The sequence below is a fragment of the Homo sapiens genome, chromosome 1, assembly GCF_000001405.40.
Source record: "Homo sapiens chromosome 1, GRCh38.p14 Primary Assembly".
NCBI lineage: Eukaryota > Metazoa > Chordata > Mammalia > Primates > Hominidae > Homo > Homo sapiens.
This window is the reverse complement of record NC_000001.11, coordinates 163,184,588-163,208,834: the sequence shown is the minus strand read 5'-3', so window position 1 is coordinate 163,208,834 and position 24,247 is coordinate 163,184,588. Positions and strand designations below refer to the sequence as shown.

The following is a 24,247-nucleotide window of genomic DNA, read 5'->3' as shown; positions in this document are numbered from 1 at the left end:
GCATGTTTCTATGTACTAGAAAGGTAGTTGCTGTGTTACTTTGTGCAAAAATATTTATATTTAATATTTCCATTTTAAGTTGTGGCTTTTAAGCCTTAAAAAGTATTTACCTTTGTTATATTCAATACATTTTGACTTGGATTTATTGTCTGTCAGGTTTACTTCTCTTGCGTTCTTGCTGTTTATGTCAATTATACCCTTGTCCATTTCTTTATTTTTAATCTTTCTAAATAACTTTGTTTTAGGTATGTCCTTTGTATACAGAATATAGTTAGGTCTTACTTCTGACTTTTTTTTTTTTTTTTTTTTTTTTTTTAATGGAGGTGGAGTCTTGTTCTGTTGCCCAGGGTTGGAGTGTACACTATCATAGCTCACTGCAGCCTTGAACTCCTGGGCTCAAGTAATCCTCCTGCCTCAGCCTACTGCATGCCTGGCTAACTTTCTTTTCTTTTTTTTCTTTTCCTTTTTTTTTTTTTTTTTTTTTTTTGAGACGGAGTCTCGCTCTGTCGCTCAGGCTGGAGTGCAGTGGCGGGATCTCGGCTCACTGCAAGCTCCGCCTCCCGGGTTCACGCCATTCTCCTGCCTCAGCCTCCGGAGTAGCTGGAACTACAGGCGCCCGCCACCACGCCCGGCTAATTTTTTGTATTTTTAGTAGAGACGGGGTTTCACCGTGTTGCCTGGCTATCTTTCTTAAAAACTGTTTTTGTAGAGATGGGGTCTCACTTTGTTAACCAGGCTGGGTTTTATTTGTAAGCCTAACTAAAACTTCTCTTTTAATGGAAAATTTATGCACATTTACATTTATTGATATAACTTATATGTTTGGTCTCAAAATTCTGTCACACAGTATTGAATAATTATGTCTTTTATGATTTTCCTATATGTCACTCTCTATGAACTGTTTATTCTTTGTTTTTTAATCTTTCTTTTTTTTTGGTATGTAGGAAGATTAAGATTTATATTTCTGTTCTAATGGTTACCTTTGTACATACACTTTTCTTAGTGTCTTTCATCTCCTGTTTTCTTATTTAACCTGTTATCTGGTTTATCCAATTTTATTGGTATCCTTTAACTGCTTCTGCAACAATCAATGATCTAATTCTACTTTTCTTCTTTCTCCCATTTTTAGTTTCATTATTTTTATAAAGAATTCTTGCACACCAATATTAAAAAGCCAGATAGTAAAGTTGTTTAAAAAATGGAAATATACAACTAATGGAAGAAAAATTACAGTGGCCAATGTGTATATGAATAGAAGCTCAAATTCCCTAGTAATTAGAAAGGCACAAATGAAAATGACTTGGTATTTTTTGCCTGTCACTGGAAAAAATTAAAGCCTGGCAAGTGTTTCATATTTGGGAAAATGAGGCTCTCATTTATTTCTGTTAGGAGTCTAAATTGGTCTGACTGTGTGATAATTTTGTACTGTTACACCTCTCAGCTGTCCCACTTTATGAACTACATTATAGATAAACTGCTCCGGGGGCATATATAGGAATATTAATTTAAGTACTTTTGCCAGAAGCAAACAATTAGAAATGACCTAAATATTTAACAATGGGTCTATAAAGAAATTCAATTATATTTGCATATGATATAATTCTTTCCAGCAATTAAAAAGCATAAACTGGAGGTATAGACTTTACACTTCCTATGTTAGTACCGATGCTTTTTAATCCTGAACAATTTCATTTCCATTTATATGATCAGAGGGTTTTCTCTTTGAAATAGCAAAAATTATACCACTTATCTCATGCTTTTGTTGTGAGAATTAAATGTGTAAATATATGAAGTGTTTTAAAAAGTGATTAATACATAGAAATTATTCAGTAGTGTTAGTTGTCATTATAATCTAAAAACAAAAACAAAAAATCATAATCTTAAATAACAAAAGATGCAGATTATATTTATATAAATCAAAACACATACCAATAATTACTATATACTTTTTATGAATTCATATTGTCTTAGTTTGTGCTGCTATAACAAAATACCTGAGACTGGGTGCTTTATAAACAAAAGAAATTTATTTCTGGCAGTTTTGCAAGCTGAGAAGTTCAAGATCAAGGTGCCAGCAGGTTCGGTGTCTGATGAGAGCTGCTCTCTGCTTCTCCAAGATGGTGCCTTGTTGCTGTCTCCTAACATGGCAGAAAAGCAGAAGAAAATGAACCCCCTCCCTCAAGCCCTTTTATAAGGGCTCTAATCTCATCCATGAGAGCTTTGACCTCATGGCTTAATCACCTCCTAAAGGCCCCACCTCTTAATATTAACACATTGGTGATTATTAAGTTTTAACACATGAATTTTGAGGGAAACGTTCAGATCATAGTACATATGTATATGAGGACATTAAAAAATGACCTGGAATACCATACACGAAAATCTTAACAGGTACTAAGTGTGATGAAAGGGGAAAAATAATGGACATGAGAGTCCTCTTTTTTTCATTAAAAAAATCAAAAAGCAACATAAACTATATACTTTTAATGAATCCATATTGTCTTAGTTTGTGCTGTTATAACAAAATACCTGAGACTGGGTACTTTATAAGCAATGGAAATTGATTTCTCACAGCCCTGGAAGCTGGGAAGTTCAAGATCAAGGTGCCAGCAGGTTCAGCAGGACTATATTTAATATAAAGTCCAGGGACTTTAGTTTTATCCATTGCCTCTTTATTTCTTTAAATAAAAAAAGGCAGGGAAGCAATATCACAACCTATTGACAGTATATATTTCTGAGTGGTAGAATTATAAATTGAGCTTGCTTATGGTTTAAAACATTTAGCAGAAAGACAGAAATCAAGCAACATGAAGGTGAAGACCTTGCCTCTGTTTACTCCATGTGCTCCTAGCTGGCTTTAGGGTGAGACTCTTACTGTGAGTAGCGAGATTAGTGAATAGACGTCTGTTCACCATGGATCACATAGTCCAAGAGGTCCCCAAATTAGAAGTGATAAAATGCATCTCAATAAATATATTGCTAATAATAGTTAAAATAAAGACACTTACACATGATTTAAGGAAATGAATTAGAGATGAATCAGAGCAGTTGTGTGGGCAGGAGATCCTTTTCATCTGATGAAAATGTTCAATGTCTCTCACTGCTTCCACTTGCACAGCTAACTCCTTCCTTCTGTAGAACTGTAATATCTAGTGCTTTGGAGCCCAAACCACTGTGGCATCCTCCAGGGCAGATGGATATCTCTTTGAAGCACCCCCCTGAATTCCCTCCCCTGTTTCATTAGGTACCACTCCTACTCACCTCTTTTCACATTCCATGAAGAAGTGGTTGAAATCACTCAGAATATGATGGCTTGTTTCTCTTTTTCTTTGCTATTACAGATTTATACCTTTTTCATATATTTACTGTCATTTCTGAGGGATTCTCAGGAGGGAAAGGAGATTTTAAAATAGTTCAATTTATTTTTTCAGACTTCAAATTTATTTTACGTAGTAGGCTCTCTCCTTTTTTTTTTTTTTTTTTTTTTTTACTGTGGTTAAAAAACACGTAACACAAACTATTCTCTTCACAGATTTTTAAGTGTACGGTACAGTATAGCTAACTATGGGCACAATGTTGTATAGCAGATCCCTAGAAATTTTTCATTTTGCATAACTGAAACTTTATACCTATTGAAACTTTATTGAATAGGAACTCCTCCATTTCTCCCATTTCTAACCTCTAGCAATCACTATTTTACTTTCTGCCTCTAGAGCACACTCTTTTACATACTTTCTGGCTATCCCATCCTTACAAAGTTTTAAAAACAAATAAGTGTTGGATTTAACATTATTTCTATTGAATTTTACATTTTGGGTTCTAGTCCATCTTTTAGTAAATTGAGATAATTTTTATTCTTGAATAGTCCATCACATGAACTCCTTTGGGACAGTCAGAAACATGCTTTGATTTTTAGCCCTCGCCAAGACATCACCCTCCATTGCTCTACGTTAAACTTGGGGTTTTTCTTTTCATATTATTATCTCCTCAAGGCCCCTTGGTATCAAATAATGATTTAGACTCTTGTCCCAAGGAGTCTCTTCTACTTGTTTTATATTCCCTTTATTAGATTTAATAGTCAACAACAGTGTCCACATGTCTCAAAAATGATAATTAATTGATTTGCTGATGTTTACTCAGTCAATAGATGGCGGAACTTGGACAGTTTGTTTAACTCATTCAGTATTTACAGATGTCTATGTGCCTGACATTGTGCTTAGTGTTTGGAAGGCTGAGGCAGGAGGATTGCTTGAAGCAAAGAGTTCAAGACCAGCCTGGACACCAAAACTAGACCCTGTGTATTCAAAAAATTTAAAAACTAGCTAGGCATGGTAGCAAGAGTCTTTAGTCCCAGTTACTTAGGAGGCTAAGGTGGGAGGATCGCTTGTGCCCAGGAGTTTGATGATGCAGTGAGCTATAATCATGCCACTTCACTCCAGTCTCTGGTCTGGGTAACAGAGCTAGACTCTGTCTCAAAAACGTGTGTGTCTGTGTGTGTGTGTGTGTGTGTGTGTGTGTGTGTGTGGTTTAGAGCCACAGCTTTCAAACTTTTTTGATTATGATCCATAGTAAGAAATATAGTTTACCTGATGACCCTGTGCACACTTACATATTGATAATTAAAGTCAAAATTTCAGAAAACAATACTTTTTACATCCGATGCACTTGGATATTTGTCTATTCTATTTATTACATTAAAAACATCAGGTCATAATGCACTGCATTGACTTTACAAGCCAGTAACAGGGGTTGATCAACCATTGCCTAAAAAGGGTATATAAAGAGGGAGTCATTTAAAACAACTAATTTCAGATAACAGAGAAAATTATGAGAGTACTGTTCAATTCCAAATTCAGAGCTTTTCTTACGGATTATTCAGTGCCACTTTTTTTAAAGCTTGGACTCATGCCTACCTTTTAGGCATTTATTTACAGATTAACTTATCAGCACCTTGGGCCCCGACAAGATAAGACACAATTCAGGTAAATTTTGGTAAATATTCCTTGAGTGATAGGAAGCAGGAAAAGTTTGAAGGAGAAGGAAAGACAAGCCTAGGCAAGGATGGCTATGGTGGGGAGGTACAAAGAATTACAAAGCATTAGTCATCCAAGCAAAGTATAATCAGAAGACCACTGACAGAATTAACAGAGTTCAGAGATAATATCATTATACTCAATCCCTACTAAGATTTTGGTGTTTGGTCTCCTAGATCACTTTTTTAGTACCTTCACAGACATATGGATTCATAAAGAATATATAGTAATTATTCATATTTGTTTTGATTTATATAAACAGTAATCTTGTCTCTCAGCTCCAGAAAACCTTGCCTGGTGCTTCCTGAAGGCTCACAACATCCCAGCCCGGCCTCCATCACTTACTTATAATGTGTTTTGGGGTCTTGAGGGCAGGGAGCTTTCTCTTTCTTCTCTGAATTCCTAGCATCCAGCTGAGTGCCTGGCACTTGGTAAGTATTCACATACACATTCCTTGAATTCCCTAGATTTCAGTTTCCTTCACTGTGAAACAAAGTGGGCTAAACGATCTCCAGGAGCCCTTACAGTCCTAAGAATCTATGACTTTGACCGATCTGAAGTGGTCCAAGACACTTTGCTTCACAGGAAGCTCACATCTTCCTTGTGATTGGCCTGAGATTAGGAGTTCAAACAACCAATGACCTGTGCACAGTTTAGGGCCTAACCCTGCCCTGGCCGGTTAGCAAGAGAGTGTTGTGATAAGAGCAGATGAAAGCCTTATGCCACAGTAGTGCCTGTAGCAGAGAAAGGATTCCCTCCTCCACCTCAGGGCCCACTGCTGCTGCTCTCCAGCCTGCAGTTTCCTCTAAGGCTCTGGATTGGCTGGAAGAGCAACAGAGGGCTGGGAAAGAGCTTCTATATATACCTCAGGAGGAAAGGCATCCCAGACAGTTTTGAAGTTTTCAAAGACTGGCTCTGCTGTTAAGAAGTTGTACTTAAAGCGGAGGAGCTAAGCCACCTGCCAAAATGTGCAAAGGACTTGCAGCTTTGCCCCACTCATGCCTGGAAAGGTGAGAACCAAGTTATTTTTGTTTAAGAGATGCAGATATGGAGAATCTTTACTCAAGGGAGGCTGCCCAGTGGTAACAGAGGTATTGTAGTTTATGGCTAAGCTGAGGTGAAACAGGTGCTTGACTGTAGATTGGGTATTATCTCTTCTCTGTAAACAATATAGAGATTTTGAAAGATCCAAGCTAGGAGATTAATACAATATAGAGTATTTCATACATCATTTAATATCCAGAACATCATTTCCTTCAAGGAGATGCCTATTCTATAAGTCCTTATTTAGAGTAAAAACTGTATGGTTAAGGATATAGATTCCAACATTAAACTGTCTAGATTAGAACCCTGGCTCTACTACTTACTATTTGTGTAAGTACTATTTGGGCAATTTATTTAACCTCTATGTAGCTCAGTTTCCTTATCTGTAAAATGGAGATACCGAGAGTTCTCTACCTCACAGGCTGGTTATGAGGACTGAATGAATTAATATATATGAAGCACTCAGAACCATGTCTGGCACCTAGTAGACTGTATAAATGTTAATTTTTATTAATGTACAGGGACTGGGAGAGGGAGGCAAGTTTGCAGTGAGGAAGAGGAAATTTCCCATTGTTCTTTGTTCTCTGACCTCATTAGATAGAAGTAACTGGATGGCTAGACAGAGAAAAAGCCCTTGGGACACAGGGGTTATTTATTAGCTAGCATTCTTTTTCAGACAAATGCATCAAAATCTTTGAGGCTCCCTGGTTGTCCGTAGGCTGGACAATATTCTGGAGAGAATCCTAGGTATCTAGGCTAAGCAAATAGAAGAACAAATATCTTACTTGTTAGAAAACTTAACCCAACCATCCTCTCTGATGGAGAGAAGTAGGGATGTTTCTCCTTTTATTGAGAATGGATTTGATTAAATTGGGTTTGATCCCTCGTTATTTAAAGTAAATAAAGAAGATCCTTGCACAGATGTTCAGCCCTAAAGGCATTAGCAGTGTTTGTCTCGGAAGATTTTATTGTTTAAAGGGCCATCTATGACTTCTGTCTCTTACAAGTTCAGGTCTTCTTTTTGATGCCTTCCACTCTAGAAATAACCTAAAAATAATTTTTAAGGAGATAACATTGTAGCATATAATTTTTTCTCCCAACAATACTATCTAGTAACTGAATATGAAACCTCCAGGGAGACTTACTCTCTGAATTATGGCTTCCAAACTTTTTTTTATTATGATCCATAGTAAGAAATATAGTTTACCTAATGACCTTGTGCATACTTACATATTGATAATTAAATAAAAGCATAGAATATTATTATTGTTTTTTAAATTTACATAAAAGAAACTTGTAGCTGTTAAGTTGTAGAAGTTAGATTGTAAATAAGGGATCAATATTGTCTATTGTACCAACCCTGGGGAAGAGGATAGGTTTTAAAGGTGGATACTATTTATTGCTATTAGCCTGTTCTTTCCTCTTACCTAGTATATAGAAAGCCTAAGAAATAGGGAAAGTTTTCTGTGCCTTTCCAGAAACGCACAGAAAACTTGAATATGGGACAATGTATAATTATTTCCTTTGCCATTTTTGCAACTATGAGAATTGCAACTTGACTTTAATGGATGCTTTTAGCATACTTATTGTTTGAAATTGTGTACTCTTATGTAGTGAATAAATCTTATTAATTGGCAAACAATTGACTTTAGAATGATTGTAACATCAGTTTGCCAAGCATTTTGTGATTCTATGACACATTGCTTGGCATTTGGTGAGAAATCAATAAAATTTCTGTTGAAAATTTGCCATGTTAATTATTTTGCTCTATGTTTTCTCATAAGTATGCATAATATTCACTGAGATATATGGATGGAACATTTCTTTCAATGATTCCTATTACTGTATTATATCTGATTCACTAGCAACATTAATATTGGATCACTTTATTTTTTGATGCACAGTAAATTCTTATGCACCAGGATATAACTAATGTTCATGTAGAATATTGAAGAGTGGTGAGTGGTAAAGGAGTGAGCTTATTTTCCCCATAGGTTGACTGAGTCTTTTATTTATTGGGATGTGGTAGAATACGCAATTATTGTGAGCTATTACATATTGTTTCATAATCTGTTCTCATCGTAAATAGGGTCATTGTAATTTCTAATTACCATGCTGCCTGAGAAGAATGTTTTGGAGAAATGGAATTGTGGAGCTGTGAAGCTGTTAGTACTTACCCATGGAAAGGGTCTAACACTGTCTATTCTAAGGGGAAAATGACACTTGAATAAATGCTTCCAAACCTGCCTTCCATGGCTCTATTATCTGACTCCCACCTTCCTCCCCCACACAGGCTCCTGTCTTTGCATTTCTTCTCTCCAAGCCACAAAAGGAACATGGATATGCTTCAATGCTTAGATAAAAATATTTAAAAATTCATATAAAATAAATTAGGGCAACAAATACACATTATGAAAAATCTGCTTTAAATGAAAAGCTCTGCTGAAGAGTTCAGTTCTGACTTCCATATGGCATTAGAAATATAATTCACTTTACAAAAGTCTGAATAGCATATCATTATTTATCAGAGTGGAAAGAGTACTAGTTAAGGAGTAAGGTGCAGACTCAATTTTGTCATTATCTGAATTTGTGTCCCTGAGCAAATTATTTCACTTCCCCAGGACTCTATTTGCTAATTTAATAGGTAAAAGTTGGATTCATTGTTCTCTAACATGTTTTCGAGTTCTAACCTAATGTAAACGAAGTGAGGTACACTTAGTCTCAATGACTACTAAGAGATGTGATTAAAGGAAAATTTTCCTATTTTTCTATAAAAGTTTGAGAGCAGGTGGGGCATGGTGGCTCATGCCTATAATCCTCGCACTTTGGGAGGCTAAGGCAGGAAGATCCCTTGAGGACAGGAGTTTGAGGCTGCAGTGAGTCATATTGCACCACTGTACCCCAACCTGGGTAACAGAGCAAGAGCCTGTCTCTAAAAATCAATTAATTAATTAATTTAACATAAAAATAAAGTTTGGGAGGAATGAAGAATCAAATAATGAAAAATAATCAAGGACCCAGCCCTGTGCTGAAACCACTGGGCCATGGCAGAAGCAACCTGCTCAGTGATTCTAATGCTGATTTATAAGAAAGCAATTATAAGAATAATTTGCTTCCTGTAAGGGGAATTGTTTTTGACAGCAACTCTTTATTAGCAAAGAATATAAAATAAACTTTTTTTTAAACAACAAAAAGAGAAGTTTTTTTCCATAAGATTAAAGGGTGGAATATATATAATGGGTAAGGATATCCAAAAATCTGCCGCATAAAGTAAGAAAATTTCAACAATTAACAAAGATTAACTTTTCCATGACATGTAAGGAGAAATCTAATCCTAGAAAATATTCCTTTCTGAATGTCCAGGGAAGCTTTCAGCCAAAGTCAACTTTGATATATTTGTATAAACTATTCTTTATTTATTTAGATTTTTAAGACTATTGCTTATTGAAATTTTAAGTAGGACTCGCATACTTTTATATGTTTAAAGAGGCAAATAATTCAAACATTTGGGCAATGAATAACCATAAGCACAGAGTTTCTACCCTCTGGCATATTGAAACCTGTACTATATGGGTGAGAATCTTATACTGTCAATGAAAAAGAAAAGAGTCGCGTCAATTTAATACCTTATTTTTACCCATGATTTTCAAGTTTGAATTTTAGGCTTCTTTTGAAAATTTATTTTATTTTCAGAGTCTGTTGAATTTCTCTAAACAAGTTTAAATTTTAAAGTAAATATTGCTCTTTGGGAAAAGATGAATGTATTATGAAACAAAAAATGTTACTATTGGCCAGGCACATTACTCCTGCCTGTAATCCCAGCACTTTGGGAGGCCAAGGTGGGAGGATCACTTGAGGCCAGGAGTTTAAGGGCAGCCTGGGCAACACAGGGAGACCCTGTCTCTAAAAACAAACAAACAAACAACAACAAAAAATAAATAAATAAAAACACCACAAATATTAGCCAGGCACAGTGGATAGCACCTGTAGTGCCAGCTATTCAGGAGCTGAGGTGAGAGGACTGCTTGAGCCCAGGAGTCTGAGGCTATAGTGAGCTATGATTGCTACTATTGCACTCCAGCCTGGGTGCAGAGTGAGACCCCATCTCTGAAAAAAGAGGATTATTTTAAAAAACTGATAATACTAATAATTGAACTGGTTGCTTTATGTTATGATGACAACTTTGATTTTTAGGCTTAAAACTGTGTGCTTATGGTTATTCATTGCCCAAAAGTTTGGATTATTTGTTTCTTTAAATATATAAAAGTATATGAGGCCTCCTTAAAATTTTAATGAGCAATAGTCTCAAAAATCTAAATATCATCATAATATAAAGGAACCAGTGCAGTTATTAGTATTTTAAAGAGCTACAAGCCCTTTGCTACTCTGGGTGACTGGCATAGATCTGATTTCTGTTTCAGACTGAGAAGGGCTAAGGGTATAATGTGTTTAATCCACAGTTCACACAGGGGCTTTTGGCCATCTCAAGGGTGTGTCAATGCTAGGAATTTCAGAAGCCATAGGAAGTAAATGGGAAAGGTAATTTTCAAACATTTATTATTTTTAAATTTATTTTAAATTTTTGTTTTTAAAAATTTTGTTTTTAAAATGTATTATTATTTTACAAAACAATCATTTTTTTCCCCATGTTCTCTGATTTATGTGGGTCAAGTGTGGACAATTTAGAATAGAAAGGCAGCTAATAAGCAGGACTACTAATGAACTAATCTGAGGTTGTTAAACCTTTAAAAGCACTAGAGTGAGTCAAGGTTCCTGGGTTTTCAGGATTAATAAATTCAAAGGCATAAGCACATCCTTGGGCTAATTGTAGAGAAAAGGCAAGCACCAAGTGAATTAAAGACTGGCAATTAGCTTGAACAACTGATAGCTCAATTGGAATGAATTGAGGACCATCAAAGAAACCTGAGAGAGGTCCTAGCAGAGCTTCTGGTTGGGTTTAGGATCATGCTTGCTGAGAATAAGTATGAATTTCAAGCTTACTATACCTGATATTCTAGAGATGTCATTGAAAGCATTGTAGTGAAACTTTAGAATGTTAAGAAAGTGAATGAACTATTTAATAAAATTTGGAGGGGGATCACTAAGAAAAACATTTATTTTGATTCCTACTGATGAAACAATATCAGTGATTTCTCTAGATTGCCTTTCAAACCTGTGTACTTGCCTTAGGCATATGGATGAAAGACCCATGCCCTGCTCCCATGGAAATTTAAGCCCAGTTAGGGAGATAAATAAGAAAAAATTAATGCTCAGTGTTGCAATCCACTACGAAGGAATATATCCATAAAGTGCCAAGAAGCACAGAAGTTGGGGTGGTAGGCGGGGCCCCTAGAGCTTTTAGTGGGCAGGGAAGAATTTACAAGGTTATACGGATGATGCTTGAAGAAAGTCTAAGAGGACAGAGGAGTTAGCCAGGTCTAGACAGGAAGAGGAGAGAGAAGGAAGGCCATCTAGGTGAAGGGGACAGGCCTGTGTGTGCAGAGACCCAGAGATGGGCGGGCACAGCCAATTTGGCTGATGTTGTGACATCTATGTACAACCTGTATTATCTCTCAGAGGCCAGCAAGGAGGGAAACCGCTGAGTTTCTAACCACAGTTAACCTCCTGGGCAGCAAGTCCTGCATATGGTTCTCTGGGAACTTCTCCAGTGCTCATCTGTTCCCAACTCTGAGGATGGAAGAGATTTATTCAGGGGAAAGATAGTCCTCCCCTTCACCTAAATGATTTTATTACTAAAAGGATAGACTGTATTTGGTATAGTAGACACCAAATAAACATTTTGTTGAAGGAATACATGAATGAAGTTACAGCAAATAGAGACAAGAGCACTTCTAGGACAGCTTGGTATTTCCTCTGCTTTCCTTGGGTATTGGGGAGACCAAGAACAGTATCAGTGTTGACATTTTAGGCCACAATCGGAAAAAGAGTGTGTGTTGCTAAATAAAGAGAGGTGCCTGCTATGGGAGAAGGGGAGTGGGGATTAGGAGAAAAAGAAAAGTGAAGGAGACTGTCTGCATTTCTATAATGAGGAAAGCCTTGTTAAAGAGGTGAGTCTTCTTTTGGCTGCAATGATGGTATCCCTTAGGTGAGCTCTAGGAAGTTGTACTGCCTGGGCTGTTCCTCATGCAGTTACTGTTGAAGCTTCTTTAGTGAATTGCATTCTGTATTCCAGCTAGTTGCCCCTTTCTATTCTTTCTTTCATTTAGTCTGGGTTATGCTGAATCACCAGATATCAATTCATAACACTTTTAGATCCCAGAATCTTACATTTTGAAACATCCCAGAAAGGTTATCTAATTTGTTTCTCCTTCTCTAGCAAGGACTACACAATATTACGGGATAGATGATATCTAGGGAGAGAGTTTATTTATGTCTCTGGAGCCATTGTTAATGGTTTTTGTCTGTACTGCTGGCCAGAGAGAAAAGGGGCTAAATTTTAATTAATTCAGTCAGGATCAGTCATTAGTAACAGGAACCAGAATATGGCTGGAGGCCAGAAGATAACAGTTTCCTATCTCTTTCCTCCCTTAAAGTTCTAATCAGTTCTCAGATAACATTGCATCTGCACTACTTTGAAGGCTGAGTCACCCAGAGGATAAAGACAGTGAAAGCCTGATTGTTTCTAACGATCGAGGAAGTTACTCTTAAGATTACAGGATTCAGGAATAGGAAAGAAAATGTTCACAGTAAGGAAGGATGTGAGCTCACAGTCTCTCCCCTGCCTCAAGACCAGCGCTTGAATTGCAGTGTGGCGGGGTAGAAAGAACAGTGCTCATAACTTCCTCTATTTCTTCCTTACTGTGTGAACTTTGGGAAGTCACCAAACCTCTCTGAACTTCATTTTCTCAGAAGTGCTAAAAGAAATAAATGAAATATTATATTTAAGGTGACTAGTTTTTAGTAGAAGGACCCCTATTAAACAATTATTTTCCTTTTATCTCTCTTTTCCCCTTTGTAGGCAGTGAAGGAAACATAATTTAAGTCAGTCAATTATGTGCTAAGGCCTTTGATAAAACTTACTCCTTTTTATCCTTCCTCATCATAACCTCATCTTTTAAAAAAAAATAAAGATAAATTTTAAAAATGGTACAGTATTTAAAAAATACTTTATCCATAATTTTTTCAATATATATATATTTTAAATTATTATTGTTACTTTTGTTTCAGTAGTTTTTGGGGTACAGTTGATGTTTGGTTACATGAATAAGTTCTTTAGTGGTGATTTCTGAAATTTCAGGGCACCCTTCACCCAAGCACTGCACCCTGTAGCCTATAGGCAGTCTTTTATCCCTCATCCCCCTTTCACCCTTGCCCCCTGATTCCCCACAGTCCATTATATCACTCTTATTCCTTTGCATCCTCATAGCTTAGCTCCCACTTATAAGTGAGAACATGCAATATGTGGTTTTCCATTCCTGAGTTACTTCACTTAGAATGATAGCCTCCAGCTCCATCCAAGTTGCTGCAAACGACATTATTCCATTCTTATATACAACATGGTATATGTATACCACATTGTCTTTATCCACTCACTCACTGGTCGATGGGCACGTAGGTTAGTTCTATATCTTTGCAACTGCAAATGGTGCTGCTATAAACATAAGTGTGCATATGTCTTCATATAATGACTTCTTTTCCTTTGGGCAGACACTGGATTGGGATTGCTGGATCAAATGGTAGTTCTACTTTTAGTTCTTTAAGGAATCCCTATACTGTTTTCCATAGAGGTTGTACTAATTTATATTCCCACCAGCAGTATAAAAGTGTTCCCTTTTTACCACATCCATGCCAACATCTATTGTTTTTTGACTTTTTAATTATCAACGTATATTTCTTCTTACAAAACATATCAAGTCTTTACAAAATGATAAAGCTCATTAAAAACCATGATCATACTTAAAAGTTAACAATAATTCTATAATTCATTGAATATCCGGTAAGAATCGAAATATTTTCAATGCTCTTTTCTCAATTGGATTGTTTGTATTAGGATCCAAAAATGTTCACACATTGAGATTTCTTAATCTTATATCTCTCTCAGTCAATAGGCTTCCTGTTTATTCTTTCTTTGCAATTTATTTGAAAAACACAGTCTTTTTAGACACAAGTATAAGAGGCTATATAACATGTGGGAAAGGTACTAGATAGGGAATACAGGCACCTGAGCTGTAACACTGGCTTCTACTACCTAGTGGAGGATAAGTCATGTGCCAGTTCCCCTCTCCAAGTATCACTATTACATTTGTAATAGGACGTGATCAATTATATGGTCTGTTATACTCCTTCCAGCTCCAACACTTTCTTATTCTGAATTGGGACACCATGTATTTTGAGAAAATATTCCATTTTTATTATAATTTCTTATCTCATCTAAGTCATATAGGAAGGCCTGGGAAACAAACTCCTGAATGTAGCTTAAAAGATGCAATCAATTACATATGTGCAATTTTCTTCCCATAATGTTTAAAAATCTCAGTGGACTCAATTAAGAACCCCATATTTCTTTAAAAGACTTGTGATAAGTTCAGAATATACTCCCAGTTTGTGAAAAGTATATATTAATATGCAGTGGAAAGTGATTCTGTTTTATTTTGGTGAATTCTATGAAGAAAAAGGGTGGTCTCGGTTTCTTGTACAATTTGAGGATGAATTAGAATCTGAATCTAACAGTGTATGATGCTTGCACTTTATTTACAGTTAACTTCATTTTTTCCTCTTCAAGTGTATAATGTCACTGAGGGCAAGATAAAAAAGTAAACACAGACGCATGTGACTTTGGGGGTGTGGCACCACTGACTACATTTATACTACACTACATTTTCTCCAGTGGGAAAGGGTGGCCCACTCCTGCCCTTCTGAATGTTGCTTAGAGGTAAACTTGTCATTTGCCTTAACAGTGGAAAAGTTTTCATCCTTGAGGATGGGATGAGAAGGGTATGTCAGGGTTTCCAGGTCTTTACATAATTAACCAATTTTCATCTGCCATCTGGGTAGATCATGGAGTACTGACAATTCTTGGAAGTGCTATGAAGACTGCTGACTGCATAAATCCATGTCAGGCGTGTATATGCTCAGCAACTGCAAATTCCAACCAGATTAGGAACATATAGTTTGCCTCCAGACTAGGCATTAGAAATTGGGTCTTTCCTGGAAAATCTGTAGGTGTGATCAACCTAATTATAGGATGCATGCATTATCAACACAGCTAATCCATGTGCGTTTTTAGGCTTATTTACCCTGACCATAGAGCTCCTGAAAAGTCCAAACAGAGTATTTATTTGCAAGGCATTCCATTCAGTTGCCATGCCTAGGTAGAATAACTTAACCTGAATTTTTGTTCTCCTTCAAAAAGAAAATATTTCAGTGTTTAAAGGAATTGGCCAAGCAGCTTTTGAATACTTTGGACAGTAGATACTTGATGACCATGTTGGTTTCATGAATAGTAAATGAGGCTAAGACCTTTATTCTATATTCTCCATGTTTTCCTTCCTAACTGTTTCCCCAGGCGCTGCTCAAAACAGCACCTAGCCCATCTGGACAGATCATTTAGAGACTTAAAACTCTACATTCTAGAAAGACATTGGAACTATCATATTAGAGTCAGAAGAAGAAAAGCAACACGAAATAAAGTACTTGTAAAAATGTGAAGTGCTCTCCTTTGCAAGTGTTTGTTATTATTAGCGAAGTATGTGGAGCTGTTTTGGTCAAGCTTCCACTTTTTGATATTTTCTTGTGCCGAACATCTGTTTCTTGATGAGGCACTTGTCTATGGGATTCAGGAAGTTTAGAAAGAATCAAGATGTTCCATTAAAAAATAGCTTCCTGTATTTTGGCAAGTTATTTTAAGTGATAGTTTATGAGAGATATCCAGTGAATGGGAGTGTGAGACCACATAACCTGTGTACTTGGGACAAGGTCAACAGTGCAGGTCACACTGAAGACTTTCCCAGAGGATCTGGTGGTCTGATGCTTGCTGGATGACAGACTTTCAGAGTCTTAAATCTTGCTTCTGAATCACCGAAGTGCAAAACAAGATGTCATTTGAACACACACATGCATGTGCAGGCATACACACTTACACACATATACCCTCAATATTGTTTATGACTTGGATAAAAGATGGATTGTTTGTTGAAATCAGAGATTTGTGCACACAAACTGAAAGTGTACCTGGGCCTGGTAGGAAGAAACATTTTTCTTTCACAAAGATGAACGTAGATTGATGGGAATTTTTTCCACTTTAAGGCGAATAGGTCTTTTCTATCTCCATAGTTTGGATTTTATACTAAGTGGGAAAAACAAACTTTTTCTCTCTCCTCACACAACACTTCACTTCTGACACCCAATGTGTGGGATTTCCCCACCAAGAAATTCTCCAACATTTTGTAGGCACCAAGGGTGTGTTCTACAATTCAATTCAACTCTGACACTATCTACTTGGAGTTAACGTCATATCCCATAGGTTAAGGGCTCAGCCCCACAAGACTGCCCCCCACTTCAGATGCCAGTTGTAAGTTCAGCTATAAATTGGGGTTTCCTGTAATCCCTTCTTTAGCTTCAATAATTTATATAATGTCTCATAAGACACGGGAAAACATTTTTACTTTTACTGATTTATCGTAAAGGCTATTGCAAAAGATACAGTTGCAAAGGATACAGTTGAACAACCAAATGAGGAAGTACATAGAGCAAGGTATATGGGAAGGGGCACAGAGCCTCTGTGACTTCTTCAGGCACACCACCCTCCTAGCCCCTTGATGCATTTTTGTTCACCAACCCAGAAGCTCTCTGAACCCTGCATTTTAGAGATTTTTATGGGGGCTTCATTACTTAGTATATTTGATTATTAACTCAAGCTTCAGCCCCTCTTCTCTCCCCAGAGGAAGCTTTGTTGAAAGCTCCAAGCTTCTCATCATAGTTTGGTTTTTCTAGTGACCAACCCTTATCCAGGAGGCCACCAAGAGTTGCCTCATTAGAGCAAAACGTGGTCCTCTTACCCAGGAATTTCCAAGGGATTTAGGAGCTCTGTGTAAAGAACCAGGGTCAGAAACCAAGTATTAGAATAAAAGGTGCTCCTAGCACCATTATCACTCAGGAAATTAGAAGAGTTTTAGCAACTTTGTGCCAAGAGTTTATGGCCAGAGACCATGGGTTAGACTATGGCATAATAAGAAACGCACTCATGAAGGCAGTAAGCCAGCCCTTCACACCTTCACTGCTCCCATTTTAGACAACCAATGTTTCAGTTACTTGTTTCACTTCTCCATTAAACTGTTACTCTGAAGAGGATATCTATCTGCTCATTGTTGGACATTACAGGCTATACTGTGTGTTCCTTGGTCTGAATAAATGATGGCTGGCTACCCAAATTGCTGCACTATCTTTTTTTTTTTATAGCATTTTGAGCATTTGCATCTGACACTTCATAAGCAAAACGCACTCTAGGGTCAGTGGCTATTCCTGTCAAGACCCATTTGTAGCCCTCCAAGGCTACTGGCGTCAGTCTCACTTGCCAGCTATGTTCCTGCCCTTCCCACCCAAGAATCTGCCACATAGCCATCGGCAGTCTCTGTCTCTTTTGCTGACAAACAGGACAGTTCTTACTGGCATTTTGTTTTTCAGAGTGTGCAAGAAGAGTATGTCCAGATTTAGTCCATCTCTGCCTTGCTGTAGTACTCCCATGTCCACTCATTTCATGGACCCAGGTGGCCGTCACAGGAGAGCACACAGGGATATATATATATATGTATTGATCCAATCACCTTTCAAACCTGAAAGGGACTTCTGATGGTCATCAGCATGTCCTACTTTAATGAACCCCTTGAATTCCCATAGTCATTTCCATAAAGCTGTGCCCCATGTGGGTATCCCTTTAATGGGCTAGGCTTCCACTGACCATATAGCCAGGCAATTGGCCACTGCCCATGAGTCAGTAAAAACTGAAACACAGGGGCTTTCATCATTGTTAAATTCTTCCGTCATTGCTAGGAAAACAACATGCAATTCAGCCCACTGGGCTCACCTGTTTTTATCTTCTTTGATAGGAGTGACAGCCTTCCAACAGGATGCTGTCCATACACCGTGGAACTACTGTCCACAAACCAAGTAACTGTTAGTCAGTCGAGCACTGTTTATAGGGTATTGTCTAAATGATGATAGAGTTTGGCAGCTCCTCACGCAGTTCCATAGTCAGTCCTAAGGGAAAAGGGGCTCCCTGCTGGTATCTTCTCCTTGCATTCTCCAGGTAGTATGATCTTGTGTAAGATCCTGTTCATTTTACTATGGAACTTTTCCAGGCACTGCCATCCCCATTAGAGTGTTTCTCTGATATCACCAAGACACCATGGGTATTTCAGGTTTCAAGATTATTTTATGTCCTTCAGTTATAAAGGTAGTTTAAATTAATGTCCAATAGCAAGCTAATAATTGACCCTCAAATGGAAATTCTCTAGTCCAAAATCCTCATAGTTGTCACGGGGAGGCACTCACAGGCTTTTGCTATAAGCCTCAGTCTAAGCTCTGTATAGGGCTTTCAAACAAAGAATATGTGCATTCAGCCTCTACTCTATATTGCTTGGGCTTGAGCAATCTTATTGGTTCTAATTTAGTGTGTTCAATTAGCATTGTTTGGAGAGCAGATTTACATGTCTTCTGTGTTACAATACTAGGTAGGGGAAATACTCCCCAGTCAGAGACAATGTTGATCCCCATAATATAACCACTTCACACAGAGCCTGCTTAAACATTCCAACTTTCATAATTCTATCAAATTCAAATATTTTCATAACTATCAAATTTCAAATTCTATCAAATCTCAAGTTTTTCTGTTCTCTCAATTTCATTGTAGCTTAAGTGAGGACTTTACCAGTGGGTTTTGGTACCACGGTGCATGAGACTCCTGTTTCTAGGAGCTCTGGAAACTTTTCTTCTCTACTCTCTGACCATTTACCCACTCATAGCAAAAGGCTTTGGGTTCCCACAAGGGGGTCAAGCCCAGAGACCCTGACCCCTTTATTAATCTTTATCTCAATTGAGTGGTCTAACTTTTGCTCCAAGCAATTGCAGGTCATATTTCTCCTTGTAATCTTAGTCTTCTGGCTTTTTAACCTTCTCCAAACTGGGGTAGATGGAAGGACTTAGTTAAGGTCCTTTAATCACCAGAGATCACTTTGACCCACACCAACTTTGACAGTGTTGTATTAAGACCCTTGTTTTAACCCCATCAATGTTTGCTTTATTCATCACACTTCTTAATAACCCTCTAAAAATTTTATCGTGCTTGCATGAGTACCATTTTACGTCTCTTTATTTTTCTGTTTATTTTGCTCCATTGAATCACCTAATGCCTTAATAACTTTTTGAACATTTTTACCTTGTTGGGAAGAGTTCCTTGACTCTTCCTTCTGCCCTTTGCCATCCTCTTGTTAACTACTCTTATCGTTTTTATTAGCATATGTACAACCCATGAGGGGAAGCCAAGATAGCAAATTCAATAAAACTTCCCAGATTGTCATTTAATTTTGCCACGGTAAGATTATATGGAGTGCCCATGCAAATGGTGCTTTCTTACCCACAGCATTTACCATGTCCTGGGAATACAGGCATATTCAGTGAGTGAATAACCTGATTATCACAAGACAGTCCCACGTGGCCTGCACTCTAAGCAGAACAGCTGCTTCATCTGGGCTGTTCTACATGGCATTTATGTGGGGAAAGGAAGAGTTCATTTCTTGGGATGACAGACCTTACAACCTTACAGTAGCTTTTTTTTTTTTTTTTTTTTTTGAGATGGGGTCTCGCTCTGTTGCCAGGCTGGTATGTGGTGGTGCGATCTTGGCTCACTGCAACCTCTGTCTCCCAGGTTTAAGCGATTCTCCTGCCACAGCCTCCCAACTAACTGGGACTACAGGCTCGTGTCACCACGCTAATTTTTGTATTTTTAGTAGAGACGGGGTTTCACCATGTTGGCCAGGATGGTCTTGATCTCTTGACCTCATGATCTGCCTGGCTCGGCCTCCCAAAGTGCTGGGATTACAGGCGTGAGCCACTACGCCCAGCCACAGTAACTTTTTTCTAGTTCGCCAGGTTGCCTCTTCCCTCAGGAATAACCTCCTGTGTCTCTGGATCCTGTTTTACCATCTGTGATTATCTCATTTTGAGCTGTGGGTCCAGAATCCACCCCAAATCCATTTTAGTAAAGATTCTTCAGGAAGCTGATGATACCAATCTATAAAATGAAGGAACTCCTTCACACTATATGCCCTGGTTTCAGCAGTTCCTGGGTTGTGCCCTCTCCCTGTTGACTATCTTTTGGGTGACCAGAGGACTCACAGGTAGTTCTGTTGTTCTGCGTAATTTTTCCTTTTGTGGGTGCCTTTCAGGATAGTGGCTAAAGCTCAGACAAACTTATGCCTGAACTTGGTCCAACACTGAGGTCTAACCCAGCACTTTGAATTTAGCTATTAAAGATAACAATGACCGTGGGATTGTATGTTTAGCATGCCTCATCTTAGTTTGTATTTCCTTACATATCCAATGAACTAGCTCCTCAGGAGTCAGATCTACCATCATTTCTAAACTCCATTGATAACTCTGGCTTTTAGTAACTGAGTGCAGTGCAGCTGCAGTTTCATACTATGTCGGAAAAACTCTCCTCAAGCCGTATTTTCCGTCTGCTCTCACACCACCACAACAATCATCAAGAAGACTTCTGCGACTTCTGGAAAAACTCCCACACACCAAGCAGTGGACACCAGCTGAGAGTCCTCCAGTTCAATTCCGGCACTATCTATGCAGAGATAACATCAAATCCCACAGGTTGAGGGCTCAGTCCCACAAGACCACTCCCCCTACCAGTGGTAAGTTTGCACCTCCGGAACTTCTGACAAACTGGCTTCAAGTTAAGGTTCCCAGGACCCCTCTTTGGGTTCAGTTAATTTGCGGGAGTGGCTCACAGAACTCAGGGAAACACTTAACATTTACTGGTTTATTATAAAGGATATTGGAAAGGATACAGAGGAAGAGACACTAGGGTGAGGCATGGGGGAGGGGGTGCGGAGTTCCTATGCCCTACCTGGTACACCATCCTCTGGGAACCTCCAGGTGTCCAGCTATCCGGAAGCTCCCTGAACCCACTTCTCTTGGGTTTTTATGGAAGCGTTTCTTCTGCCAGCGTATGAGGCGGGACCTGTCAGGGGAGTGTCTTAAGACCCACAATCACAAAGGTGGGAGAAGATTAGAGTCCTGCCTGTGATAGGTGAAAGGAAGGCTGGAAAGAGATTCTGTTTCCTGAGGCCTAACACACCCATTATCACAAAAGACTGTAACAAAGGCTGAGGGAGTTATGAACCAGGAACTGTGGACGAAAACCAATGTATATCATAACACCACACATACTATATGTGACTAGGGGGCCATAGCCATTCTCATTTAGCTGGCAAGATTGAGAAAAATGCAAATAAGGTTTTCTCAAATTCTAATCTGAGGGTTAAAATAACTTTTATTTTATTTTTTAAAATTTCCCTCTAATCTGTTATCTTCTGGACCCACTAAGTATAGCTCAGCTTTTATCTCCCTTCCTGGTCCAGATTGGGCCCTGATGTTTGTAATTATGCTGAAATGTGAGTGCAGATGGCTGGAGTGCAGCTGAGGGAAAGGGATACATAACTGCCATTAGCTACTTATGGAAAACATTTTATTAAATGGATACTGGCTCGAGAGCATGAAAAAGAAAAGAATAACAAAGCCAGTTGACAATTATGACAGACTAGGAATGAGTGCCTAGCACAATTTTGATCACACAGAGGCATGTAATAAAAGTCTATTGAATTCAATTGATAGATTCTGCTCCACATACGGGGTGTGATTTTTTTCCCCTTTCTCTAATATGACCAGCTTAGAATCACAGACTGAGAATTGATTCAGGGTAACGGACCAATTCCTTCTTGTATAGATGAGAAAAGAGGTCCAAATTGTTTTGGGGACTTGTCTAAGGTCACATAGTTGTGAGTTTGAGCTTATGCAAGGCCTCTGGATTTACATTTCATCTTCATTTTATTTTATCAGATGAACTTTTACTTAAGAATTTTGGTCATATATTCATAATTTTGTCTGTCTTTGCTTTTTTTCTTTTCTTTTTCTTTTTTTTTTTTTTTTTTTGAGACAGAGTCTCGCTCTGTCGCCCAGGCTGGAGTGCAGTGGTGTGATCTCGGCTCACTGCAAGCTCTGCCTCCCAGGTTCACGCCATTCTCCTGCCTCAGCCTCCCGCGTAGCTAGGACCCTGTCTTTGCTTTTAAGATATTTATTCTTCCATTAGCACATCTTTCACACAGTTTTGGTTACTACACTGCAATCTTTAAAAAGAAATGGGGCTGGGCGCAGTGGCTCATGCCTGTAATACCAGCACTTTGGGAGGCCGAGGTGGGCAGATCACGAGGTAAGGAGTTCAAGACCAGCCTGACCAACATGGTGAAACCCCGTCTCTACTAAAAATACAAAAATTAGCCAGGCGTGGTGGTGGGCACCTGTAATCCCAGCTACTCAGGAGGCTGAGGCAGGGAAATTGCTTGAACCTAGAGGTAGAGGTTGCAATGAGCCAAGATTGCACCACTGCACTCCAGCCTGGGTGACAGAGCAAGACTCTATGTCAAAAAAAAAAAAAAAAGACCTTTTTTTTCTCTATTTCTATTTGCCAGATGCATATAACTGCCAGTTAGAATAACTGAGCAACTGAGAGAGGTGATATTGCATGATAATAATTAAAAGCCCATATGCTGACATGAGACCAGGTTGAATTATACCTTTATCATTACCTTGTTTTAACCCCATCAATGTTTGCTTTATTACTTGGTGAATTTGAGCAAATTATCTAAGTTCTCTGTGAGGTCACGGGGTCACAGTAATACCTGTCTCATAGGATTATTGTGAGCACTAAATAAGTTTATGCATTGCATGTGTTGAGTGAACCATGCAGTTAACTGAGAAATGTGTGGTTTCTCTTAATGTTTGCTTTTTCTTAGTTATCTTCAGGTTGCAACAACCTTGCAGCCAAACCTCAGAAAGGATCTAGAACAGGGAACTGGAAAGCATCAGGAATCATCTTCATCTCCCTACAGAGGTGTAAGAATGGGACTCCCATGAAAGGGCCCCTTGCAAGGAACATTAGAAAGTAAATGAGACAGCTGGATGACAGGAGGAAAGAGAGAAGGGAGGATCACAGATAACCAAGTTGAGCCTGGGGGGTTGAGAGGATAACTGGACTCTTGATGGAATATGATTACGTGAAAGGGAAGCTATTTGTAGCAGATGATGAATTCATTCTTCTGAACTCTCACCTTGTCTTTTAGGAATTTTTAGATGATTTCAAGTCAAAAGCCCTGATCTTCCTGGACAATTTTATAGTTGTTAGTTATTAATTTGATTTAAAAAAGCAGCCATGACTCCCATATGCAAGACTCCAGGGAATAATTCATAGGTAACATAGCCATAAAAATGAAGCCCACTCACACCCCTCTGCGTGTGTGTGTGTGTGTAAATAAAGACTATAGGACCCTGTCTTGCCTGGTTTGAGCTTTTGGGTTTAGGAGAGAAGGAGCAATATTGGAACAAATAGCTGGTTCAGGAGAGGAAGATTAGATAAGGCTGAGAAACAGATAATTCAAAAGAGGTTAAAAGAATTAGGATTATCTATTAACTGAAAATAGAATGGTAGAATGAGGATCACAGAACAGTCTGACTGGTTTTAAGTCTATTTTCTATAGTTAACTAAGTTTAAAAAACAAAAGCTAAGTGAGGTGTATTAGTTTCGTATTTGCTGCTATAACAGTTGCCACAAGCTTAGTCACTTAAAGCAACATGAATCCATTCTCATACAGTTCTGGAAGTCAGAAATCAAAAATGGATCCCTAGGGCTGCATTCCTCCTGGAGGTTCTGGGGGAAATTGATTTATTTGCCTTTTCTAACATCTAGAGGCCACCTGCATTCCTTGACTCATGTTACAGCCAGCAGTATAGCATTTTTTAATCTTTCTGTCTGATTTCATTGTCATATTGCCTTCAGACTTGACCCTCCTGCCTTCTTCTTACAAGGATTCTTGTAATTATATTGGGCCAACTTAGATAATCCAGGATAAATTCCCACTTCAAGATCC

General features: G+C 38.3%; 1 protein-coding gene and 1 long non-coding RNA gene across 13 annotated transcripts in view, besides 1 other annotated feature; one reads left to right on the top strand and one right to left on the bottom strand.

Moving 5' to 3' along the window:
* Window positions 1-24,247, top strand: part of RGS5 (regulator of G protein signaling 5) — a 179,437-nt gene that overhangs the window by 112,901 nt on the left and 42,289 nt on the right. For 3 of the 12 annotated variants that reach the window (NM_001195303.3, NM_003617.4, NM_001254749.2), the window contains exon 1: window positions 5,919-6,043. The exons of the other annotated variants lie outside the window; for them this stretch is intronic. Coding sequence is in view for 2 of the 3 variants with exons in the window: in NM_003617.4 (NP_003608.1) it covers window positions 6,000-6,043 (44 nt within the window). In the remaining variant the exon portion in view is untranslated. Of the gene's footprint in view, window positions 1-5,918; window positions 6,044-24,247 lie in introns of those variants that run through there. 12 annotated transcript variants of the gene reach the window in all.
* Window positions 1-24,247, bottom strand: part of RGS5-AS1 (RGS5 antisense RNA 1) — a 51,349-nt gene that overhangs the window by 4,189 nt on the left and 22,913 nt on the right. The window contains exon 3 of the long non-coding RNA NR_110699.1: window positions 1,995-2,138. This is a non-coding gene — a long non-coding RNA (RGS5 antisense RNA 1). The remainder of the gene's footprint in view (window positions 1-1,994; window positions 2,139-24,247) is intronic.
* Window positions 5,190-5,855: an enhancer, noted in NCBI's record as "OCT4-NANOG-H3K27ac hESC enhancer chr1:163172770-163173435 (GRCh37/hg19 assembly coordinates)". NCBI's record gives its function as "activates a minimal SCP1, AML or CMV promoter by ChIP-STARR-seq in primed H9 embryonic stem cells {active_cell/tissue: H9 hESC(primed)}" and the evidence as "EXISTENCE:reporter gene assay evidence [ECO:0000049][PMID:30033119]".